The 23,740-nt window shown below is 46.9% G+C and overlaps 2 long non-coding RNA genes across 2 annotated transcripts in view, besides 1 other annotated feature; one reads left to right on the plus strand and one right to left on the minus strand.

Annotated features, from left to right (window-relative positions):
* LOC105377721 (uncharacterized) overlaps positions 1–6,386 on the minus strand; it is a 25,752-nt gene extending 19,366 nt beyond the window's left edge. Inside the window, exons 1-2 of the long non-coding RNA XR_941213.2 lie at positions 6,255–6,386; positions 1,120–1,204 (exon numbers count right to left, since the gene is read on the minus strand). This is a non-coding gene — a long non-coding RNA (uncharacterized LOC105377721). The remainder of the gene's footprint in view (positions 1–1,119; positions 1,205–6,254) is intronic.
* Positions 4,433–5,280: an enhancer, noted in NCBI's record as "H3K27ac-H3K4me1 hESC enhancer chr5:170920637-170921484 (GRCh37/hg19 assembly coordinates)". NCBI's record gives its function as "activates a minimal SCP1, AML or CMV promoter by ChIP-STARR-seq in naive H9 embryonic stem cells {active_cell/tissue: H9 hESC(naive)}" and the evidence as "EXISTENCE:reporter gene assay evidence [ECO:0000049][PMID:30033119]".
* LOC105377720 (uncharacterized) lies at positions 5,596–13,553 on the plus strand. The gene is made up of 3 exons (XR_941212.3): positions 5,596–5,881; positions 12,689–12,777; positions 13,410–13,553. It is a non-coding gene; the product is annotated as an uncharacterized LOC105377720 (long non-coding RNA).
* The last annotated feature ends 10,187 nt before the right edge of the window (positions 13,554–23,740 follow it).

The raw sequence follows: 23,740 nt of genomic DNA on the forward strand, positions 1-23,740 counted from the left end.
AAGAAAGAGTGCCTGAGATGGATTCACCCTGTCAAGGTGCCGAGCGCGGGGACAGCGTCCATTCCTGCCTGTGGACAACTCTACTTCCAAAGGAACAGAAGTTGTCCTTGCTCTCAGGTTCGCCTGACCTAGGTTGTCCCTCCCTCCAAATCTTCAGATGTTTTCCTCTTAGAGGGTCTGACTGTGATCCTCCTCCTCTGGGACCCGGTATCCACGCCCATCAACGGGAAATGCTGATAGTGGTAAGAAAGCCTGCCCTCCCCTATCTTGCAAGATGCCGTAGAGGTAAAATGACATCTGTTGTTTGTGCTTCGATTCCTATAAAAACTTGTTTATGAGATTAAACTCAACTCTGCAATTTTAAGTATTGTGACTTGTGACCTTATAATACACAGATAATACTTAACTTTCTCCACCCCAATTGAATAATTTTGTTTGTCTATTTTTTGTTTTTGTTTTTCTCCCACTTGGAAAAGTATATTCTTTTTTTCTCATATATTTAATGGCCTTTATCTCACAATAATCTGTCCAGATAAACTCTTTTTTGAGACAAGATCTTGCTCTGTCACGTGGGCTGGAGTGCAGTGGTGTGATCACGGCCACTGCAGCCTCGACCTCCCAGGCTCAAGTGATTCTCCCACCTCAGCCTTCAGAGTAGCTGAGATTACAGGCGCATGCCACCATGCCTGGCTAATTTTTGGTAGAGATGGGGTTTTACCATGTTTCCCAGGCTGGTCTTGAACTCCTGGGCTCAAGCACTCCTCCTGCCTCGGCCTCCCAAAGTGAATTTATTTTTAAAATATTATTATTCTTTTCTGACTATAAGCAGAAAAATGCAAACACATTGTAAACATTCCAAAGAAGATGCAGACTTGCAAAAGGTAGGAGACATCTTTAAAATTTCTCTTCCTTTGATATTAGTCTTAGTCTTATATCTTTGTCTTCTATGTCTATGTCTTGTATCTTTAAAACCATCGCATCAAAAGAACCACTATCAAGAGCAGCACATATCTTTTCAGAATATTTAACAAAATATTTGTCTACCTCCCTATTATGTATATATGTATGCTTACATGCACTGCAGACTTTTCTGCAACTTGCTTTAGCTTATAGTCATACCTCAGTATCCATGAGAGTTTGGTTCCAGGATCCCCACGATAACACAATACAAGAATTCTCAAGTCTCAGTCTGCCTCGCGGGAACCTGTGGATACAAGAAATCAGCCCACAGGTTTGGCATCTGCAGTTTGTTGAACCAAGGGTGTGGAACCCGTAGATCTGGGGAGCAGCCTTTTGTTTTAGACATCTTTCACTTCCACTGTCTTCTCCCATACCATATCATCATTTATGTAGTTAATCCTCTCTTGATGGTCATTTGTATTGTTGCAAAATTCCTATCTTTGTGTGTTTGCCCAGTTTTATTTTAGGATGAATTCTAGATGTGAACTTGCTGAATTATCTTCCAAAAATGTTGATTCAATTTATGTTCTCACAATAATATGTGTAAAGACCTGTTTTCTCATATTGTTAGTAGTAATATCAATCTTTTAAATCTTTACTAAAAGGCAGGGCAAAAAAAAAAAGAGAGAGAAAATTCATCTTCTTGTTCAGGTATGGAGTTTTTTGATTATCGGTGAGGTGAAGAATGTTTTCACGTATTCAATGGCCATTTGAAGTTCTCCGTGTTGCATTTGAATGTCATTTCACACATCTGCTCTCAGTAGCATTGCCTTGGTATTGCTCTTAAATATCTGTGGAGAGCTCAGTACAGCATTTAAGGCATAGCAGAGGAATGAGTGAGTGATGAATGAATGAATGAATGAATGAATGAATGAATGAATAAAAAAGAACAGTCACGGCCGGGCATGGCAGCTCATGACTGTAATCCCAACACTTTGGGAGACCAAGGCGGGCAGATCACTTGAGGTCAGGAGTTCGAGACCAGCCTGGCCAACATGGTGAAACCCCATCTCTACTAAAAATACAAAAATTAGCCCAGTGTGGTTGCTGGCTGTAATCCCAGCTACTTGGGAGGCTGAGGCAGGAGAATTGCTTGAACCTGGGAAACAGAGATTGCAGTGAGCTGAGATCGAGCTACTGCACTCCAGCCTGGGCAACAGAGCGAGACTCTGTCTCAAAACAAAAACAAAAACGAAAAAGCCCCCCAATCACTTCTGGTCTCAGAGATGGTACTAGGGGTGGAGAAATTCCCCATTTGGTTTCATTGTTGGAAACAGAATCCCTTAGTCAGAATCACCAATCACTAGGGAAATGCAAATCAAAACCACAATGAGATACTACCTCACACTCATTAAGATGGCTACTGTCAAAAGAATAAACAAAAAACAACAAAAAACTTTCAGAAAATAAGAAATATTGGTGAGGATGGAAAAAAACAGGAACACTTGTGTTGGTGGGAATGTAAAATGGTGCAGCTGCTACAGAAAACAATATGCTGAGTTTTTCAAAAAAATTAAAAATAGAATTTTCATATGATTTTTCATATGATTCTGCAATTCGTCTTCTGTATATGTACCCAAAAGAATGAAAAGCATGGACTTGAAGAGGTACGTGTACAGCCATGTTCATGGCAGCTTTATTCACAATAGCCAAAAGGGGGAAGTAACCCAAGCGTCCATTGATGGATGAATAGATAAACAAACTGTGACCAACACCTACAATGGAATATTATTCAGGACTTAAAAAGAAAAGAAATTCTGACATATGCCACAATACAGGTGAACTTTGAAGATGTTATGCTAAGTGAAATAAGCCAGTCCCCAAAAGACAAATATTGCACGATTCCACGTATATGAGGCACCTAGAATAGTCACTTTTTTTTTTTTTTGAGGCGGAGTTTCACTCTTGTTGCTGGACTGGACTGCAGTGGCATGATCTGGGCTCACTGCAACCTACCTCCACCTCCTGGGTTCAAGTGATTCTCCTGCCTCAGCCTCCCTAGTAGTAGCTGGGATTACAGGTGCCCACCACCACGTCCGGCTAATTTTTGTATTTTTAGTGGAGACGGAGTTTCACCATGTTGGTTAGGCTGGTCTTGAACTCCTGACCTCAAGTGATCCACCCGCCTCGGCCTCCCAAAGTGCTGGGATTACAGGCGTGAGCCATCGTGCCCGGCCTAGAATGGTCAAATTTATCAAGACAGAAAATAGAGTGGTGGTTACCAGGGGCTGGAGAGAGGGGTGAGTGGGGAGTTGCTGTTTAACAGACAGGAGTTTCAGTTTTGCAAGATGAAAAGCGTTCTGGAGATTGGCTGTACAACTGTGTGAATGTATTTAACATTACTAAACTGTACTTAAAGTTGGTTAAGATGGTAACATTTTAAAGTGCATTTTACCAACATTTTTTAAAAAGTTAGTTTCTTCCTGCGCCTGGCCGGGAGAAATGCCCTATTTGCAAGGAGGACTGGCGGCTCTCACATGAGTAAAGGCCTGGCGCCAAGGTCTCCAGAACACCCCCTGCCCACCGTGAGAAGGTGGAACTCGGCACCACCGCACTGGAGCACGCGTTGCCACTTCAGCCACCCAAGCGCCGTGGGGCAAATACTACAATTACGCATTTTGTAAAGGGAGATGTGTTTTGGAAGAATTTATCTGCAGAAATCATAGGACTGGACATTTGGTGAGATTTCCCGAGAAAAGATAAAAAGAACAATAACCCAGGTAAAATGCCAAATCCTCGGTCTGACGTCAGTCTCCAAGAATGACTGCCAAGTGGGCTCTGGGAAATGGGCCACACCCACTCGTGTCCCAGCCAATCAGAAGAGTCCAGGCGAATTCAGCCAACCAGAGCTCGGCATTCCTCTGATGCAGATGCTCTTGATTTCTGCCAAGGACACAACTTTGGGCGCTGGGTTGGAGAAATGATTGTTGGCGGCACTTTCCAAGCATTACCGATTAATTGAAAATGCAAAGCCCACACGATTAGTAACATAATAATTAACATTTATTGAGCACTTACACATCAAGCATGTTCAAACTGCCCTCAGAAAGGTGAAGTAGCCTGCCTGAGGCCACATAAATAAGTGTTGTGGGGGTTCTTGCCCCTGATTGCCCTACTGCCTCTGTGAAATAGTCATTCTCCTCACTGATACTGAGCAAGGGAATTTAGACTGTAACCTGTACACAAAAACTCTTTGAGGTAAGGGTGAGTGCTATCACCACTTTATTTTACATAGCGATTGATAATAAAAAAAAATAAGAGATCTGAAATATGTTTCCTATTGGGAGAGAATTGGCAAAGGCAGAAAACGTGAATCTTGATCTTTCATTAAAAAAAAAAACAAAAAACATCAACACAAAACCACCGCAAAACCGCAAGCTAGCCCATGTAATTATTTAAGAAACGCTCATTGAATGAATGAACTCGTGGGGGAGTAAGAAGCTACAGAGAGACCCACTGGAGAGCCACCGAGAGTGGCAGATGGCAGTGTACAGGAGGACCTGAGGGATGTTTGCTGATGCCTGAGTGAAAGGACAAAAGACTGTGCCGAAGGATGATCCGAGGCAGAAGGTTGTGAGCACTGCGCGCAGGACAGGGAGAGTCAGGGGCTGCACATCCTTTGCTGTGTTGCAGTCAGCAGAGCATTCAGGGCCAGTTCTGGTGCTCTCTGGGTGGCCCCGTGCACAGCACACAGAATTCCCACACTTGCACACAGCGCTGTCTGGTGGGAACACACAGACAAAACGTCCCAAGCTGGTAGAGCCCCACGCATAGCTGGCTCTGCCCATTATCCCAGATACACCCACAAGCAGACAGCTGCACCTGCAAGCACACACACAACACACAACACACACATGCCTGTGAGCACACACACAACACACAACACACACATGCCTGCGAGCACAAACACACAACACAACACACACACGCCAGGGAGCACACACACAACACACACATGCTTGTGAGCACACACACACAACACACAACACACACATGCCTGTGAGCACATATACACAACACACACATGCCTGCAAGCACACACATATAATACACACAAGCCTGCAAGCACATATGCACAACACGGAGCACACACATGCCTGTGAGAACACACACGCCTGGGAGCACACACACACAATACACAGCACACACACCTGTGAGCATACACATACAACACACGCATTTCTTTGTGGGTCTCGTGGACATCCTAAATGAGGAATTCTTTCCCTACATGCCTTTTTGTTGTTGCTGGCTTGATCCCTCCATCACCCACTCACGTTTATTGGGCACCTACAGCGTGCAGGCCCCGCGCTAAACCCTGGGACGTGTCCTCAGGGGCCAGGAGAGAGAGGCCTCAACTCAGGAATTAGGAGAACTCAGGTCAAGGGGGGAAATAGTGTTGGTAAATCCACTGTGTTGCTAGTGGGCCTATTTGGGAGAGCCTGTCAGAGAAGCTACGGGGAGCTGGCTCTGGTTCAGACATCTTCCAGGAACACAGAAAACAACCACATTTTACTAATTATAGCGAGGGAAAACACGCTGCGATTACAGCTAAATTACATTAAGACATAACTGGCTGGCTCGGCCGGCTCTATCTTTCTGGATCAGGTTTCAGCCAAGTTGGGTGGTGACACAGGCGGGGCAGGCTGGCGAGGCCTTGGCCGGGGGAGGGTCCCGCAGCCTCTTTTCCTGTGGGGTCGTGACCCTGGGGTGACAGTGTGGTGTCCCAGGGCCAGTTGCAGCTTATGTGACCAGCAGCTACCCCTCCCTACAAGGGGCTTCCCTGGGCCCCTGGGCTGGAACAAACTGCCCAGAGGGCCGCTGAGTCATCCAGCCCCTCCTCTCCTTTCCCTCCCAGAACTGAGGATCAGAGAATTCAGGGCTGGAAGGAAGGTCTTGGGGCCAAAGCCTTGGTCTTTCGAAGGTAACTGAGTGGGTTGTTTTTTTAAATTCTCTCTCCTGTTGTGGCCACCAACTCTGTCCTTTCCTTCCAGGCCCTGGTCTGCACCTGCCAAGAAGGGCTTGGTACCTGTTTGGGGAAAGAGGGGGTTGAACTCTCCACCCCATTCTCTATGTAATTATTCCCAGAGGGCCCGTGTCTGATTCATGCCCCACAGAGGAAGGAAGGAAGGAAGGAAAGGAGGGACAGAGGGAGGGAGGGAGGGAGGGAGGGAAGAAGGGAGGGTGGGAGTCGAAGGAAGGAAGGAGGCAAGGGCCACCAAGGGAGAGCGGGAAGGAGGAAGGAAGGTGGGGAGGGAGAGAGGCAGGCAGTGATTAATGTAGGAAAGCCAACTTACCGAGCACTTGTGGAATGCCAGGCATCGCCATGCAGTACCTCCTTGAATCTTCACAATGATCTTGAGGGCAGGAGCCCAACCTTAGGGTTCCATGGAGACTAGAGCTGCACACAAGGCAGGTCCTCAACAGTAAATTCAGTAATTCCTTGAGTGAGCAAGTATGTCAGTGAGGTAGGTAATATCACTATTTATAGACAGGGCAGTAACAGCTATGGCATCATGGGGGTGGGGTTCAAATCCACCTTTCCGGCCAGGCTTGGTGGCTCACGCCTGTAATCCCAGCACTTTGGGAGGCCGAGGCGAGTGGATCACTTGAGGTCAGGAGTTCAAGATCAGCCTGGTAACATGGTGAAACCTCATCTCTACTAAAAATACAAAAATTAGCTGGGTTTGGTGGTGCGCGCCCGTAGTCCCAGCTACTCAGGAGGCCGAGACATGAGAATCACTTGAAGCTGGGAGGCGAAGGTTGCAGTGAGCTGAGATCGCGCCATTGCACTCCAGCCTGGGCGACAGAGCAAGACTTCATCACAAAAAAACAAAAAAGATCCAGCATTCTTTGTCTCCAAGGCTTGCTCACTCAGCTCTGCACCCAGGCTTTTCACCTTTCACCTTGTGGTGCTAAGAGAAGTGGCCATTCCAGTGACCACATGACCCCCAGATATGATGGGAGCTTGGTTCCCAGCATCAGTCTTGCCCTGCTTGGCGTGGGATGCCAGGGTGCACTGAGCCCCAGTCCCACCTTTATTCTGCCAGCACTGCGCTTTATATGCACTATCTCATTTAACCCTCACACCACGGGCTGGGGAGGGGGTGGCTTCCAATACCCTCATTTTTTGGATGAGGACCCTGGGGCTCAGAGAAGTAAAGTGGCTTGCCCAAGTTCACACAGCTGCCAACTGGGGGTGCTGGGGTTCCCGTCCTATATGGGGCACCTGGCTCCATACTGTCAGGCCCAAGTTTATAGAATCCCTGAGGGGCCTGGTCTCTGGTCACTTCCTCAGGGCCAGCCTAAAGGCAAGAGCAGGGGGCAGGGTAGGAGGCCCTCTCCTCTCTGAGGAACCCTGCCAGGACTTCTCGCTATGAGGACAGGCTTTGGCCAGGTCCCCAGGGCTCAGCTCAGGAAAAACACACCAGTCTGTGCCCGGTGCCTGTGGAGCTGGGTCCATCCCAGAATCAGGGGCAGCAGGTGGTGTGGCCATGGGCATGAGCAGCAGCTGGGCTGTGGTGTGTTGGCCACTGTGTTCTGGCCTGTTGTGCCGGTGTTTACAGTCCACATTTTTAATAATCTGATGTTATGTTTGGCCCTGAATCCCTTCTGCAGAGCCTAACCAAGGCTTGCCTCCAAGATGGCCTTCTTGTTCCTTCCAACTCTTGCTCTGAAATGAGCTGGGAAGAGAGACTCAGAGGGAGAGGGGAACTGGGAGGTAGCGCGAACTCCACCTGATATTTACAGAGCCCCTCCTGTGTGCCAAGTGCATTTCTTATGTTAATTTTTTTTATTATTATTATTTGAGACAGAGTCTTGCTCTGTTGTACAGGCTGGAGTACAATGGCGCAATCTTGGCTCACTGAAACCTCCACCCCTGCGTTCAAGCAATTCTCCTGCCTCAGCTTCCCAAGTAGTTGCGATTACAGGCATCTGCCGCCACGCCCGGCTAATTTTTTGTATTTGTAGTAGAGACAGGGTTTCACCATGTTGGGCCAGGCTGGTCTCGAACTCCTGACCTCAGGTGATCCACCCACCTCAGCTTCCTAAAGTGCTGGGATTACAGGCATGAGCCACCACGCCTAGCTGCTTATGTTTGTTTGTTTACTTAAAGACAGGGTCTCACTTTGTCAGCCAGGCTGGACTGCAGTAGCATGATCATAACATACTGTTAACTCGATCTCCCAGGCTTAAGCAACTCTCCAGCCTCATCCTCCGGAGTAGCTGGAATCACAGGCACACGCCACCACACCTGGCTAATTAAAAATGTTTTTTGTAGAGATAGGGTCTTACTGTGTTGCCCAGGCTGTTCTCGAACTTTAGCCTCAAGCAATCCTCCCGTCTTAGCCTCCCAAAGTGTTGGGAGGTCCCATCATATCTGGGGGCTATGTGGTCACTGCAATGGCCACTTTCCTTAGCATCCTGAGTCACCTAACCCAGCCTAAGTGCCGCCTTCTTCTTCTTCTTCTCCTTCTTCTTCTCCTTCTCCTTCTCCTTCTCCTTCTTCTTCTTCTTCCTCTTCCTCCTCTTCCTCTTCCTCCTCCTCCTCTTCCTCTTCCTCCTTCTCCCCTTCTTTTTCTTCTTCTTTCTTCTTTTTAAATATTTATTATACTTTAAGTTCTGGGGTACATGTGCAGAACATGCAGGTTTGTTACATAGGTATATACATGCCACGGTGGTTTGCTGCACCCATCAACCCGTCATCTACATTAGGTATTTCTCCTAATGCTACCCCTCCCTTAACCCCTGCCCCGCTCACCTAAGTGCATTTCTTATGTTAGTTTTAGTTTTATTCTATCCCCCACAGTAATCCAGGATGATGTGTTTTTTTCTACCCACTTTATGGATAAAACTGAGGCCCAAAGGGTAAAGCTGCCTGCCTGAGGCCTCACATCCAGGCGTGGTGAGCCTGGGGCCTGGCCTCAGACACGTCCAGCTCCAGAGTCTGAATGTCTCTCGTGATGCATGTTGAGCTGGAGGTGCAGCTGCGACCATGGCTCCCTTGTAAGGATTCATCCACTCTGCATCTTACCCCTTTCCCAGGGGTACCATAAAGCTCTCTTTCCAGCTTTGGACAAGAACAGAGATGAATGGCTATTCTGGAAGCAGAAAAGTCCAGGCCTTGGGCTATCTCTTCTCTCTTATCCCATTTCCATCTTTAGCACAGGGTGCCCAACGCCAGCCTGGGTGGTGGTGTAACTCAGCCATGAAATTAAAGGCGGGGCTTGCAGCCCACTCGCCTGCCAACCCTGTCGGCCCCGTGGCATCAGGGGTAGCAAGGCCAGGCCTATCTTTCTAGGAAAAGGTTCAGTGTGCAGTCAGGCCTGACTAAAGCCATGCAAGGACCGCAATCTCAAGGCCCCCAGCTCCATCCCCTTCTTGTCTTGCTTCTCTCTGCTGTAGTGGTGTGAACAGTGAAATCATATCCCAGCACCAGCACTTACTAGCTGTCTGATTCGGCAAAAGTAATAATATTAACAATTGCAGCGCATTAATTGTGTTTCTGAGACATCACTGAGTACCTTTCATCCTTCTCTGACTGAAACCTCCCAGCAGCCATTTGAGGTGGTAAGGTGACTGTTCCCATCTTACAGATGAGGGATTTGCCTGTAGTTGCACAGCCAGCAAGTGGCAGAGGGCACACTCCTAACTACCATGTCACTCAGCTTTTTATGACTGCCTCTGAACCTCAGTTTTCTTATCTGTAAAATGAGACTGCTAGTTTCAACCTCACAAAACTAGCCTGGCAATGCAACAACAAAAATGCAGGTAAAGTGCTTAGGACAGAAGAGATGCCTGAAAAATGTGAGTTGCCTCAGTCTGTTAGTCATTCGACAAACGTTTAGTGGGATAGATGAAGTCTTGCCCCCATGGAGCTTCCAGCCAAATGGGGAAGACAGTTGCTAAGCAAATCATGACACATAATTGATTGGATGATTTTAAACATGCCCTGGGCTGGTAGGGAGAAGTACAGGGTCAGGTAAAGCCTAGAAGTGGGTAGGGAAGATGCTTGGGGGAACCGGAGATTAGAAAGCCCTGGACCCCAATGGCCTAAGGGAGGGCTTCTATCTAGGGCAGTGGGAGAGGTCCTCAGGGCTGAAGACCCCTGGATGCTTGAAGGTGCAGAGGAATTCTCTCCCTGTCTGTCCCGCAGCAGCTGGGAAACCCCTGGGTGGTCTGATTCCAGCGGCCCAACCTGGAACTGATTGCCCGCGGTAATATTCCTGACCCAGGTAAAAATGTGCCAGTTCTGCAGGCTAGTGTCTTCTGCTGGGACACTGGCAGCTTGCTCAGCAGATGGGGGGACTTGTGTCTGAGGTCTATGGAGGATGAACCACAGCCTAGTCTGCCTTTTGTATCCCGGCTGTGTGGAACCAGCCCAGCCTTGCCGGTTGTTGAGTCAAGAGCGGCCGGGACTTCCAGTTCGAATCCCATCTCTCCTGCTTCTTCCTTCTGAGTGAGCTCTAGAGCCTCAGTGTATCTGCTCTGTGCAAAGGGGATCTTAACACCTACTCTCTGGTTGTTCTGAAGATTTAATAGAAGGTTGAATGTGAAGCTGGAATTAGTTATCAGAGACTTTTTTAAAATCTACAGAAAGCACATTAGTTGTCAGGCACAGTGCCAAGCACTTGACACACATCGGCTCATTTAATTCATATCAATAGTTCCTGAAGAAGGTGCTGGCATTATCCCTGTGTTACAGACAGGGAAACTAAGGCTCAAGAAAAATTCAAAAACTTGGCCAAGGTCACGCAACTAGTGTGTTTACAAAGGGAGAATAAAACACATCAAGAAACTGCAAATGGGCCGGGCGTGGTGGCTCATGTCTGTAATCCCAGCACTTTGGGAGGCCAAGGCAGGTGGATCACTTGAAGTCAGGAATTTGAGACCAGCCTGGCCAACACAGTGAAACCCCGTTTCTACTAAAAATACAAAAATTAGCCCGGTGCAGTGGTGCGCACCTGTAATCCCAGTTACTCGGGAGGCTGAGGCAGAAGAATCGCTTCAACCCGGGAGGCGGAGGTTGCAGTGAGTCGAGATCGCACCACTGCACTCCAGCCTGGGTGACAGAGCAAGACTGTCTTAAACAAAACACAAACAAGACAAAACAACAACAACAAAAGAAACTGCAAATGAATAAAACCCACAACTACAATTTCTCATCTACCCACTAGGTACCAGACAATTTGCGTATGAACCTGGATCTATCTGCTTGAACAGTGACTTTTCTACTTTGGATCTAGGGCCTTTGTCGGGTGGTGGTAGGGAGTCCCGGGACACCAGCTTCATTTGACCCCGGCCTTGCAATCACAAAGAACTGTAGATGTAGGCTTTCGACAGCCTCTTCGATTCAGATTACACATGCTCTTAGGATTGCCAGATTTAGCAGATTCAAAATATGGGACATCAGGTTAAACTTAAATGTCAGATAAGCATCCAATAATTTTTTAGTATAAGTATGTCCCAAATGTTGCATGATATATATTTATATGAAAGCATTATTCACTGTTTATCTTAAAATAAGTTTAACTGGTCATCCTACATTTCATCTGGCCACCCTATATCCTGTCCCAGAACCACCTTGATGGAATTCATAGTAGGCGATTTCACCTTGATGAAATTTGTCGTGTTATCAAATTGTCTGGACTGTAGTGCTCTATGGGTTGGTATCTTTCTTTATTTTTTGTTTTTTTGAGACAGAGTCTCACTCTGTCGGCCAGGCTGGAGTGCAACGGTGTGATCTCGGCTCACTGCAACCTCTGACTCCTGGGTTCAAGCAATTCTCCTGCATCAGCCTCCCAAGTAGCTGGGATTACTGGTGTCTGCCACTACGCCCTATTTTTTTTGCCACCACCAGGCTATTTTTTTTGTATTTTTAGTAGAGACGGGGTTTTACCATGTTGGTCAGGCTGGTCTTGAGCTCCTGACCTTAGGTGATCCATCCGCCTCTGCCTCCCAAAGTGCTGGGATTACAGGCGTGAGTCATCCCACCCAGCCTAGACTGGTATCTTTAAAAAGTCCTGAAATTACCCTGGGGATATCTTACATTTTATGGGGATTGAAAACCTTTAATTTGTTCAGAGCTAATATTTAAAACAGGCTACCGTGTTTTGTAATTTTACTTTGACATTTTCGGTTGGCAAACTGTGGGCCTACAGGCCAAATCCAGTCCAAAATAAAATATATTCATTTTAAAAAATGAAGTTTTGGCCAGGTGCGGTGGCTCACGCCTGTAATCCCAGCACTTTGGGGGGCCAAGGAGGGTGGATCACGAGATCAGAAGTTCGAGACCAGCCTGACCACCACGGTGAAACCCCGTCTCTACTAAAAAACACAAAAATTAGCTAGGTGTGGTGGTGGGCGCCTGCAATCCCAGCTACTCAGGAGGCTGAGGCAGGAGAATTGCATGAACCTGGGAGGCAGAGGTTGCAGTGAGCCGAGATCGTGCCATTGCACTCCAGCCTGGGCAACAGAGTGAGACTCCGTCTCAAAAAAAAAAAAAAAAGAAGTTTTATTGGAACACAGCTGTACTCATTCATTTACATATTGTCTCTGGCTACTTTTGCATTACAATGACAGAGTTGGGTAGTCTTACTTACAAGCCCCAAATACTTACTTTCTGGCCCTTTATAGGAAGTTTGCCAGCTTCTCTGATGTGTTTCCATTCATTGTTGTTTTCATTCATGTTGACCAGAGCTTGCACTTATAATCGGTATCTAATTTACAGGTAGTTCTTGCATGTGGAGTGGTGGAATGGGGTCTGGAGTTTGGGCCACACTGAGATGCCATTTCTCTGATCATCATACCTGATGCACAGTGGGTATCTGTGGGAATGAGTCCTCCCTTACCTTTTTTTTTTAAAAAGATATATTTTATATAATTAAATTGAGACAGGGTCTCACTATGTTGCCTAGGCTGGTCTTGAACTCCCGAGCTCAAGCGATCCTCCCACCTGGGCCTCCCAAAGTGTTGGAATTACAGGCGTGAGCCACCACACCCCTCCTTTATGTTTTTATCAAATTCTCTCTACCTTTTTTTCTTGGAGAGTCCCCCAGTCACCCCTCCTCCCTCCCGTGGAGGTCTGCTCTGTAAATTCAAAGCAGGTTTTTGCTGCATTTTGAGCCTGTCTGCTTTCTACAGATTTCACCTGGCTAAAAATAGTCACATGTATAATTCCTCGATTAAAGTCTTTAGCCGTTGGGGGAGGTCTGCACCCTGGTCCGGGCAGCCCTCCATCTCTCTAGTTGACAACCCTGTCTGCCTGCTAACTGGGGTGCAGAACTTGTGGAGTTCCCATCCCTGGGGCTCGGTGTTCAGCTGGGTTTAATCTCAGCGCTCCTTGGAGAGGGTCAGCATGCAGATTGGAAACAGGAGAAGTGCAGGTTCAGACAGCGGCATCTGGGAATTCACCCACTGCCTGATGCTTTATACCTGCCTCTCTTCCCCAGATCCAAGGAGACGGCCCAGGGTCATCTCTTCTGCCTGAATAGCTGAGAGGAGTCCTGCAATCTTAGAGCCATTTTCCCAAGAAACCTGACCTAGAACATACTCTCTCTTAAGATTCAAATAAACTGTTGTCAAGAACTGTAAAAGGTCTGAGATTTTTATCCTACTTGTATACAAGTTAACAAGTTAGCCTGCATTGTTTCATGGATCCTGGCAGAAGACACAATATTCCGGGGTCAGAGACAAGGACATTCTTTTATATATATACATATATATAAAAGTATATATATATACATATATATAAAAGTGTGTGTGTGTGTGTGTGTATATATATATATATATATATATATATAAAGTTTAAGTTCTGGGATACATGTGCAGAACGTGCAGGTTTGTTACACAGGTATACACGTGCCATGGTGGTTTGCTGCACCCATTAACCCGAGAGAAGGACATTCTTATTCACAGTACCGTAGGCAGCATGAGCTTCATTGACGGGGATGACGTGGAGGGGTCCAGGTGGAGGCTGCACATGCTGTGTGTTTGTGTTACAGAGGAGGGACCCTGAGTTAGGGGAACCGAATCCTTTATAATGGTCAGGAAACTGACTTGACTTTTGTCCTAGGGAAGACTTTTTCTTTGTTATATTGGACATTAGACAAACCTATGCTTTGGTCTGAAGGGAGATACTGTGGTGATCTTCCAGGGCTGTTCATAACATACAAACAAACTTGAAGAGACAATGCCTCTGTTCCCAAGATGTGCAGAAAATCAAGAGACTCAGCCAGGCATGGTGGCTCATGCCTGTAATCCCAGCTACTGAGGCAGGAGAATCACTTGAACCCAGGAGGCGGAGGATGCAGTGAGCTGAGATCATGCCATGGCACTCCAGCCTGGGTGACAGAGCAAGACTCTGTCTCAAAAAAAAGGAAAGAAAATCAAGAGACTCACTGATAGTTGTCTACCAACAACTCAATTTATTTTGCTTGTTTTTGTATATAAAATGAACAGTGTTCACAATTGTCATTAATTATTGCAGGCTTTATGCTTGCAATGATACATTACCCTTTAACTACCTGATAAGATAAAAAATCCCACAACGCAATTTTCACTTCAAGTTACAATTAGAATTATTTCCTATGTTTAAAAGTAAATGTTCAGGGCCAGGTGCAGTGGCTCATGCCTGTAATCCCAGCACTTTGGGAAGCCAAGGTGGGAGGATCACTTGAGCACAGGAGTTTGAGGCTGCAGTGAGCTACGATTGCACCACTGCCCTCCAGCCTGGGTGACTCTAAAAAAAAAAAAAAAATTAAAAACCCTAAAAGTAAATATTCAGAAATTAACAATATGCCTGAATGGCATGTCTTCTATGTATTGCTGACATTGTTACAATGATTGGACACCATGGGAAACCTATATGATTACATGACCAGTTCTCACCCACAGCTTAGGAATGCCAGAAATGACAGTGACATTAGCATTTGTCTATTCGCTTTCCAAAGCCCAGGCCAAGGTTGAAGTCAAAATAGCAGATTTTGGCTGAATTTGGAGGCTGAAGTTTGGGATGGTTAATTTTACGTGTAAACTTAACTGGGCTAAGTATTGCCCAGAAAACTGGTGAAGCATTATTTCTGGGTGTGTCTGGAGGGTGTTCTGGAAAAAACTGGCATTTGAATCAGTAGACTGAGTAAAGAAGATCACCCTCCCCAATGCGAGTGAGCATCATCCAATCTGTTGAAGTTCTGAATAGAACAACAAAGTGAAGAAGGGCGAAGACTGCCTCCTCTGCTTGAGCTGAGACATCCATCTCTTCTGCCCATGGACATCAGTGCATCTGGTACTTGGGTCTTTGAACTTGGACCAGGACTTACACCAGTGGTCCCCCTGTTTCTTGAACCTTTGACCTGAGATGGGGACTTACACTACTGCTTCTCTGCTTCCCATGCCTTTGGGCTTGGACTGGAACTACATGACCAGCTTTCCTGGGTCTCTGGCTTGCGACAGCAGATCATGAGACTTCTCCATCCCTATAGTCACATGAGCCAGTCCTTCATAATAATCTTTCTATATATCTACAGATATCTTATTGGCTCTGTTTCTCTAGAGAGCTCTGATTAATGCAAAGTTGAATGTCTATGTGTTTTAAATTATAATAGAGAATGGTATTAACTACTCCATTCATTCAGAAAGAAGTGGTATGGAGAGTTGAGGGGGGACAAAGGGCTGCAGGGGTTGGATCACTTAACCCAGTCTCTGGTGACCCTGGATAAGCTTCATGAGAGAGATGAAATCTAAGGTTGGGCCCTGAAGGAAGAGTAGCAGTTAGCTAGGTAGGGGTGAGGAAGAGTGTTTCAGGCTGAAGGACCAGCGTGTGTGAAGGCTCAGAGGAGAGAGAGAGAGAGAAAGTGATGTCTGGAGAGAGAGGGAAAGTGATGCCTGGTGTGTTCTGGAAACTGAAGAAGTTTAGAGTGGCTGTAGCACAGCAAACAAGCATTGTGTGGTGTGTGTGTTGGGGGTGGAACGGAGCTGAGAGTGGTGGAAAATGGGTTGAAACAGAAGATAGGGCTCAAGGTCATGGTGAATTGTGCAGCCTTTCACAGGACTTGGGCTTCCTCCTGAATGTGGCGAGGGCCATGGCTGAGTTTTGGGTCAGGCAGGGCTCAGGGCTGTGCTTTAAAAAGGCTGCCAGAACAGGCAGTGTGGGATGGACTGGAGGCACTGGTTGCGGCTGGCGTCTTCCAGAGGAGGGAGCAGAGCAAGGAGCAACAGTGGAGGTTGGTGAGGGTGCTCTCCCCAGGGCCCCAAGACCCTTTCTGCTGATGGCTGAGTAACACCAGCCTTTTTCTGCCCTCACCTCCTCTGATGGTAAGGGTAAAGTAAGGGGAATGATTCCACATTCTCATTTTCCTGCCTGCCCATTGGCCCTGCCTCAAGTTCTTTCCAGGCCTTGCCATTGCTGCCACCTCTGGGTTAGGCTAGCGGAACTGGTCGGCTCCTGGGCAGTGGCAACTGGAGCTTGGCTATGAGCTGTGCAGTGGTGGGCGATGGGGCAGTCTGGCCCACTTGCCCATGCAGATCACTTTTGCCCTCAGGCTCTGCTCACATCCAATCCTGGGAGTGGCATTTCCTGCCAGGCTTCCTGACATTGTGACTTGGTGGGTTTGAAGAACCCAGTTCGTGATGGACAGTTCTGTTCCCACAGTCACTTGCTGCCGTCTGGTGACGTGCCCGTCTCTACCAGGGCCTGGCAGCCCTTCAGGGGCTGTTTTTTAAAATAGATGCCATTCCCTGCTGGAGATGGCATGTCCTTGCCCTTGCTCTGGAACTCTAGAAGTCCATATTTTAATTGTCCTACTGGGGCTTGCCCAAAAAATACAATGTGGCATGTTTTTCCTACCATGGACACTTTCTTTTCTTTTTTTTTTTTTTTTTGAGACTGAGTCTCACTCTGTAGCTCAGGCTGGAGTGCAATGGCGTGATCTCAGCTCACTGCAACCTCTGCCTCCTGGGCTCAAGCAATCCTCCCACCTCAGCCTCCTGAGCAGCTGAGATAACAGGTACACACCACCAAGCCTGGCTAATTTTTTTTGTTTTATTACTAGAGACAGGGTTTCACCATGTTGGCCAGGCTGGTCTTGAACTCCTGACCTCAAGTGACCCACCTGCCTCTAACTCCCAAAGTGCTGGGATTACAGGCGTGAGCCACAACACACTGCCCCTACCATGGACACTTTCTAACAGCATAGCACAGACTGGGTTATATGGCCCAAAAGGCAGAGCTCCTTGCACTGCAGCCTGGGCCGCTTGCAGAGCCCTTTCCTGCTCTGAGCCCAACTCAAAGTTGGCTGTTTCCATGTCACTTGGTAAATGGATCAGAAAGAACACATTTCCAAGTGGAAAATATGCTACCTCTGGAACCCAAAGGGCCTTACCAGGCCTTGTGCTTCCTTCTCCACGGTGGGAGCTGTAAGATGCCATAAATTGTTTTTTACTTTAGAGGGGTTTGACCCAGCATGACCTGGCCTCTGGGCTCTTGGGAACATCACTGATATGGTAGGCCCCTGAACCTTCATAAAGTTTTTCTCTCATTCTCTGTGAAGCATGTGTCTTTCCAAGGTCTCCAACATACTTGCCACTTCTTGTTTATTTGGTCTAATTAACATGCTATAGCCTTTTTTTTTTTTTTTTTTTAGACAGAATCTCACTCTGTCACCCAGGCTGGAGTGCAATGGTGAGATTTCGGCTCACTGCAACCTTCACCTCCCGGGTTCAAGCGATTATCCTGCCTCAGCTTCCCAAGTATGCTGTAGCTTTTCAATATCATGGGCTATTGTGGTATTTTGCACGATGTCTACATTGCCCACATCTTTTCGTAGTGCATTATGACAGAGGTTAGGGGAATTACCATAGTCCTGGAGAAAGATTGTTATCCATCCTCTGTGAATATAAACTCTTTTTGGTCCTGTTTCCTAATAGGGATAGAAATGAATGCATCTGCCAACCCAGTGGCCACATGCCCAGTGCCTGTCATGGTGCTAATTTGCTCTAGCCAAAAGACCATATCCAACATGGCAGCTGCAACTGGAGCTACGTGGTTAAGTTTGTGGTGGTCCCCTAGCATTGTCTTTAGCAGGTCTGCCAATTCTCTGGCTGGGTCATGTTGTGATTAACCCTAGTTATTGGTCTGGCAGCCAGGAAGAAGATGAGGGTAGATTCTGAATGAGGTAGATCCTGTCTTTCAAAGTAGAGGCCTCTGTGTCATCTTCAGATAAGAGGGAAATGCCAGCCTTGAACAGGGAGTTCAGGTGAGCCATGTCTGCACACTCATAGGGTTCAGGGAAATTCAGGAATTCAAGAGTTTTCAGTGCCTCCATCCAGATGGTCCCACATCCATCTTCTGAGTTCCGCTCCATCCAAGCAGGACCATGACTCTGGCATAGCCAACTTGTTGGGGTTGAGAATTCAACCTCTGAAGCTCATTTTTCATGAACTCTGGACCTGATGCTCAGGAGATGGGAATCTCTTCTTATGTCACCAAGGAGAACATCTGGCTTTCACACTTCACCTTCGATTAGTAATTAAACACTGGCAGCCCTTTATTGTCTTTATCCACTGTATTGATGACACTTGGCAACAGTCATTTGATTCCATTATCATTGTAAAGATATTTTCCCCAACCTCTGAAACATCTGAGGCTTTGCATCTGTGTGACATTCCCTTCTACCTGCATCCCATCATAATTCCTGGTTGGTAAAGTTTTAAGAATTGTACCACTGCAGCAGGGCAGGGGAGTCCTCTGAGCGGGTGAGGAAAGCAGGACGAGGTGGAGGGAGACGTTGAACTGCTACGCAGTGGAGACAAAGTCCTTGGCCAATTCCATGAGCGTTTCCAGAGCTGGGATGGCACTTCCAGGTTGTTTGAATGGAAGCAAGGAGACCAGTCACTGGACGCGGGCTGCCCCTGCGGAGGGGTGTAGCCTTGAAGGAGGCAGCTCACCTTAGCTGAAGGCAATTCCTGGAAACAACTCTGCTATGTGCCATCATCAGGTAATACTCCAGGCAGCTGGGAAATGAGTGCTTTGGTCTTGAAGAAAAATCTTAGGAAAATTAAGTGCAATTGAAAAAATTATGTCATTTCCCAGGCAATTCATAAAATCATTGTTGGTCACATTTTCCCTAGTCATCTAAGTGTCATCTGACCCCCTTAGCATCCCTTAAACATTTTGCAAAGGGCAATGCATACGCTTCATTTCAAACAGCTTTACTAGAGTGCATTGATACTATACTTGCACCTCATTCAGTACTCACTCTCATTCACACAACCTTTTGAGGCAGTTGGGATTATCACGATCCCAGTTTTTATTTTTTTTTGAGATGCTGTTTCACTCTTGTTGCCCAGGCTGGAGCGCAATGGCACGATCTCAGCTCACCACAACCTCCGCCTCCCAGGTTCAAGCAATTCTCCTGCCTCAGCCTCCATAATAGCTGGGATTCCAGGCATGTGCCACCACGCCCGGCTAATTTTGTATTTTTAGTACAGATGGGGTTTCTCCATGTGGGTCAGGCTGGTCTCGAACTCCCGACCTCAGGAGATCCACCCGCCTCGGCCTCCCAAAGCGCTGAGATTACAGGCGTGAGCCACCGCACCTGGCCCATGATCCCAGTTGTATAGGTGAGGAAACTGAGGTGCAGAGAGATGAAGTTGGTGGGGCATGCTCAAGTACATTCTTCAGGTCTCTGATGCTAAATTGTGCTTTTCCTTTTAGCCCCAGAGTTCCCTCCAGAGGCAAAGCAGGGATTCTCAACACAGTTTGCTAATGAAGAAACCAAGATACAGACAGGGGCAGAGGGGGCTAGCAGTGGAAGGGGAAACCAGGGCATTGTTGGGTTTGGAACAAGGGCTCTGACTCGAGGCCGGAGCCATGTCTCTCAGTGTTGGGTCCCTGAACGGGCTTGCGAGGCCCTGAAAGTAACAGTACGGTGGGCTGGGAGGCCAGTGGCCCCAGAGTCAGGAGGTCATCACCCTGCCCTGCCCTGACCTCAGTTTCTCACACCAACCAAGGGGTCACGGGGGAAGGGACTTTATGGCCGACGGGATTTATGGCAGAGACAACAGTTTGTTCTCTGAGCTGCCCTGCTCTGGCCTGAGCCACCCAGGGAGCAGTTTAACACACACCCTGCAGCCCCAAATGGGGTTTCCAGCTGGAGCTCTGGGGCCCACCCCTTAGCTGGAGCCTGAGATGACCCCTTTGCCCATCTGTGCAAGACAGGAACTTATGGGGCTCGCCTGCTCCTGTGAACCCTCCATGAGCCCCGGAGAAAGAGGGAGCAGCTTAGAGGGCCCTCCCTGCTCCCCCTACACAAGCTCGTTTATGGCCCTGAGGCCCCTCAATTCCAATAGGATTGTCAACTATGCTTTCCTACTAACTGAAGACTACCCTCAGTTCTCTATTCCTTAAACTCCAGCCGCTCATGTCCCCCACCTGCTGAATGTCTCCCTAGGGATCCCACAGGAACTGCCAACCCCGCATGCCCACTGCTGCGGGGCATGCGCAGTGAACTGCCCACTGCTTCCCCTTCTCCTCCCTTGTTCTCGGGCAATGGTATCTCCACTTATCCATTCTCTCAAGCCAGACACAGGAGTCTTCCTTGACCCCATCATCTTCTTTCTGTCATTACGTCCTGCCAGTGCCACTTTAACAATGCCACCCACATCTATAGACCTCTTTCCATTTCCATCACACCTACCTTGTTCCAAATGGCCTTCACTTCTAGAAACATTAATCAGAACATATATCATTCCCTGGGTTAAACCACTTCAGTTTCTCCTCATTGCCCAGAGCTGTGCTTCTCAAACTGGATGCCTGATAGCATCGGAGGGAGTACACAATGTCACAAGTAGATATGAGGAATCTCCCTAAGTGCCAATATTACTTGAGAATTTTGAGGAAAAGCCAACTTTTTTTTTTTTTTTTTTTTGAGATGCAGTTTCACTCCTGTTGCCCAGGCTGGAGTGCAATGGCGCAATCTCGGCTCACTGCAGTCTCCCGGGTTCAGGTGATTCTCCTGCCTCAGCCTCCCGAGTAACTGGGATAATAGGCATGTGCCACCACACTAGGCTAATTTTTTGTATTTTTAGTAGAGACAGGGTCAGGATGGTCTTGAACTCCCGACCTCAGGTGATCTGCCCACCTTGGCCTCCCAAAGTGCTGGGATTAAAGGCGTGAGCCAGCGAACATTTTTATATTGAAACAAATGTAATATTCTATGAAGCCATATAAAAGTCCTCTAAAAGTTATCATGTAAATAATACAAAAACACTCAAGATTGATAAAGTTTGTATTGTGAATTTAAACATTCTGGTTTGTAATGATGATAAACATTTAAACTTTGAACTTTTTTTTTTTTGAGACAGAGTCTTGCTCTTGTCAACCAGGCTGGAGTGTAATGGCGCGATCTTGGCTCACTGCAACCTCCGCCTCCCAGGTTTAAGCAATTCTCCTGCCTCAGCCTCCCGAGTAGCTGGGATTACAGATGCGCGCCACCATAACCAGTTAATTTTTCTGTTTTTAGTACAGACGGGGTTTCACCATGTTGGCTAGGCTGGTCTCGAACTCCTGACATCGTGATCTGCCTGCCTTGGCCTCCCAAAGTGCTAGGATTACAGGTGTGAGCCACCGCACCCGGCCAACTTTGAGCCGTTTGTTAACTCATGTTTTTAGAATTGCAAATTAGCTTACCATTCACCATTGCTATTGCCATCGGTTTTGTACAGAACATTCTTGGTGATCATGGTATCTCCCTTGCCAGGTAAGTATAACGTTCTTAGGCACAAGGGACTAAATGCAGCTTTTATATACAGAGGATCTTTATAAAACCTGAACTTGAAGATGCATTTCAATCTTGCATAAAGTGTTTATGTTGGGCATTTACGTAACCTAATTAAACAATTTTTTTTTGAGACAGGATCTCACTCTGTTGTCCAGGCTGGGGTGCAGTGGTGTGATCATGGCTCACTGTAGCCTTGACCTCCCGGGCTCAATCAGTCTTCCCATCTCAGCCCCTCTAGTAGCTGGGACTACAGGTACACACCACCACACCCAGTTATTATTATTATTATTATTGTTATTTGTATTTTTTGTAGAGATGGGGTTTTGCCATGTTGCCCAGGCTGGTCTCGAACTCCTGGGCTCAAATGATCTACCTTCCTCAGCCTCCCAGAGTGTTGGGATTTACAGGTGTAAGACACTGCACCTGACCTAAATTTTTATTTAACCAAAAAAAAAAAAAAAAAAAAAAAAACCAGAATCAATAGGATGTGGGTATAGATATATAGACGCAGACAGATTTATTTTAAGGAATTGGCTTATGTGATTGTCGGGGCTGGCAAGTCTAAAATCTGCAGGGCAGACTGACAGGCTGGAGACGCATGGAAGAGTTGATGCTACAACTGGAGCCTAAAGACCGTCTGGAAAATTTCTTCTTTCTTGGGGAAACTCAGTCATTTTTTCCTTAAGGCCTTAAACTGATTAGATCTGGCCCACTCACATTATGGAGGGTCATCTATTTTACTCTTAGTTTACCGATCTAAATGTTAAATTTTTCTAACAAATACTTTCACAGCAGCATCCAGACTGGCATTTGACCAAAAATCTGGATAGTGCCGTTTCATCAAGCTGACACATGAAATTATCTATCCCAGCCTGTATGTCTTTGTATACATGGAATGTGGGTAGCTGGATAGCTGAATGGAGGGATGAACGGATAAATGGATAACTGGATATGTGGATGGGATGATGGAGATATATGATTGGTTATGTGTTTAGAGGCCAGATGAATGAATGAATGAATGAGTAAATGAATAGGTAGATGAATCATAGAATGATTGGTGGTGTGAGTAGGTGGGTGGGCAGATAGGTAGAGAGGTGAATATATGTATTGGTGAGTGACTGGTTGAGTAGTAAATGTGTGGGTGGACGGGATGGTAAGGGTTGAATGTTGGTTGGATAGCTGGATGTTGTCTAGTAAGACCTGTGGTTGGATGAAGTGCTGATGGACGCACATATGCATGGACCAGTGGATGGCTGTGTGACTGGTGGAGTCTGAGTAATGAGTAAATGAGGGGACCGGTGGATAATTGAAAGACTAAGTGTGTTAGATGTAGGCAGGAATGGATGAGAGGGTGGGTGAACAAGTAGATGGGTGTGTGAATAGATATATTGGGAATCTATAGATCTCTTTGGGAGAATGCTAAATGGGGAAATGCTAAAGTCAGCAAGTTTGTTTTATGGAAGAGTTAGTAGAAAAGAAGCAACATTTCATGTACCCTTTATATGATTGATACAAGTGCCTTCATTTCTCTGAGCCTCCATTTCTTCATCTAAAAATAAAAGGGAAATCAAATACTATTTACCTGGCAGCGTGCTGTGAGGCTCAAGTGAGGTATGTGTGCAAGTGTCTGGCACAGTGCATTAAATATTATTAAGTTCTCAAAAATGTCGGTTTTCTGCATTCCTCTGCCTCTCCTCTCCTTCTTCCTTGTCTGTAGGTGGAAGGTTATGTTTTATAGAGCGAAATCATACCGAGGTCTCCTCTGTGTCCGCCACCCCAGCTTTAATAGAAACACATCCCTGACATGGCTGGTACAACCTCCTGGGGCCTACATTGGGCATAGAATAGCCCCCTCCACCACCCTCACCCCAAAAGGGACACCACTGCCTGACCCTCTTGCTTCAGCTGGGATGATTTCTTTGTCCTCAATGGATCAGAGACAACACCTGGCCTGGCTACTGCTTCTCCTTGAATCTCCTCATGACAACTCAAACATGATGAGA

This window comes from Homo sapiens, chromosome 5 (genome assembly GCF_000001405.40).
Source record: "Homo sapiens chromosome 5, GRCh38.p14 Primary Assembly".
Classification (NCBI taxonomy): Eukaryota; Metazoa; Chordata; class Mammalia; order Primates; family Hominidae; genus Homo; species Homo sapiens.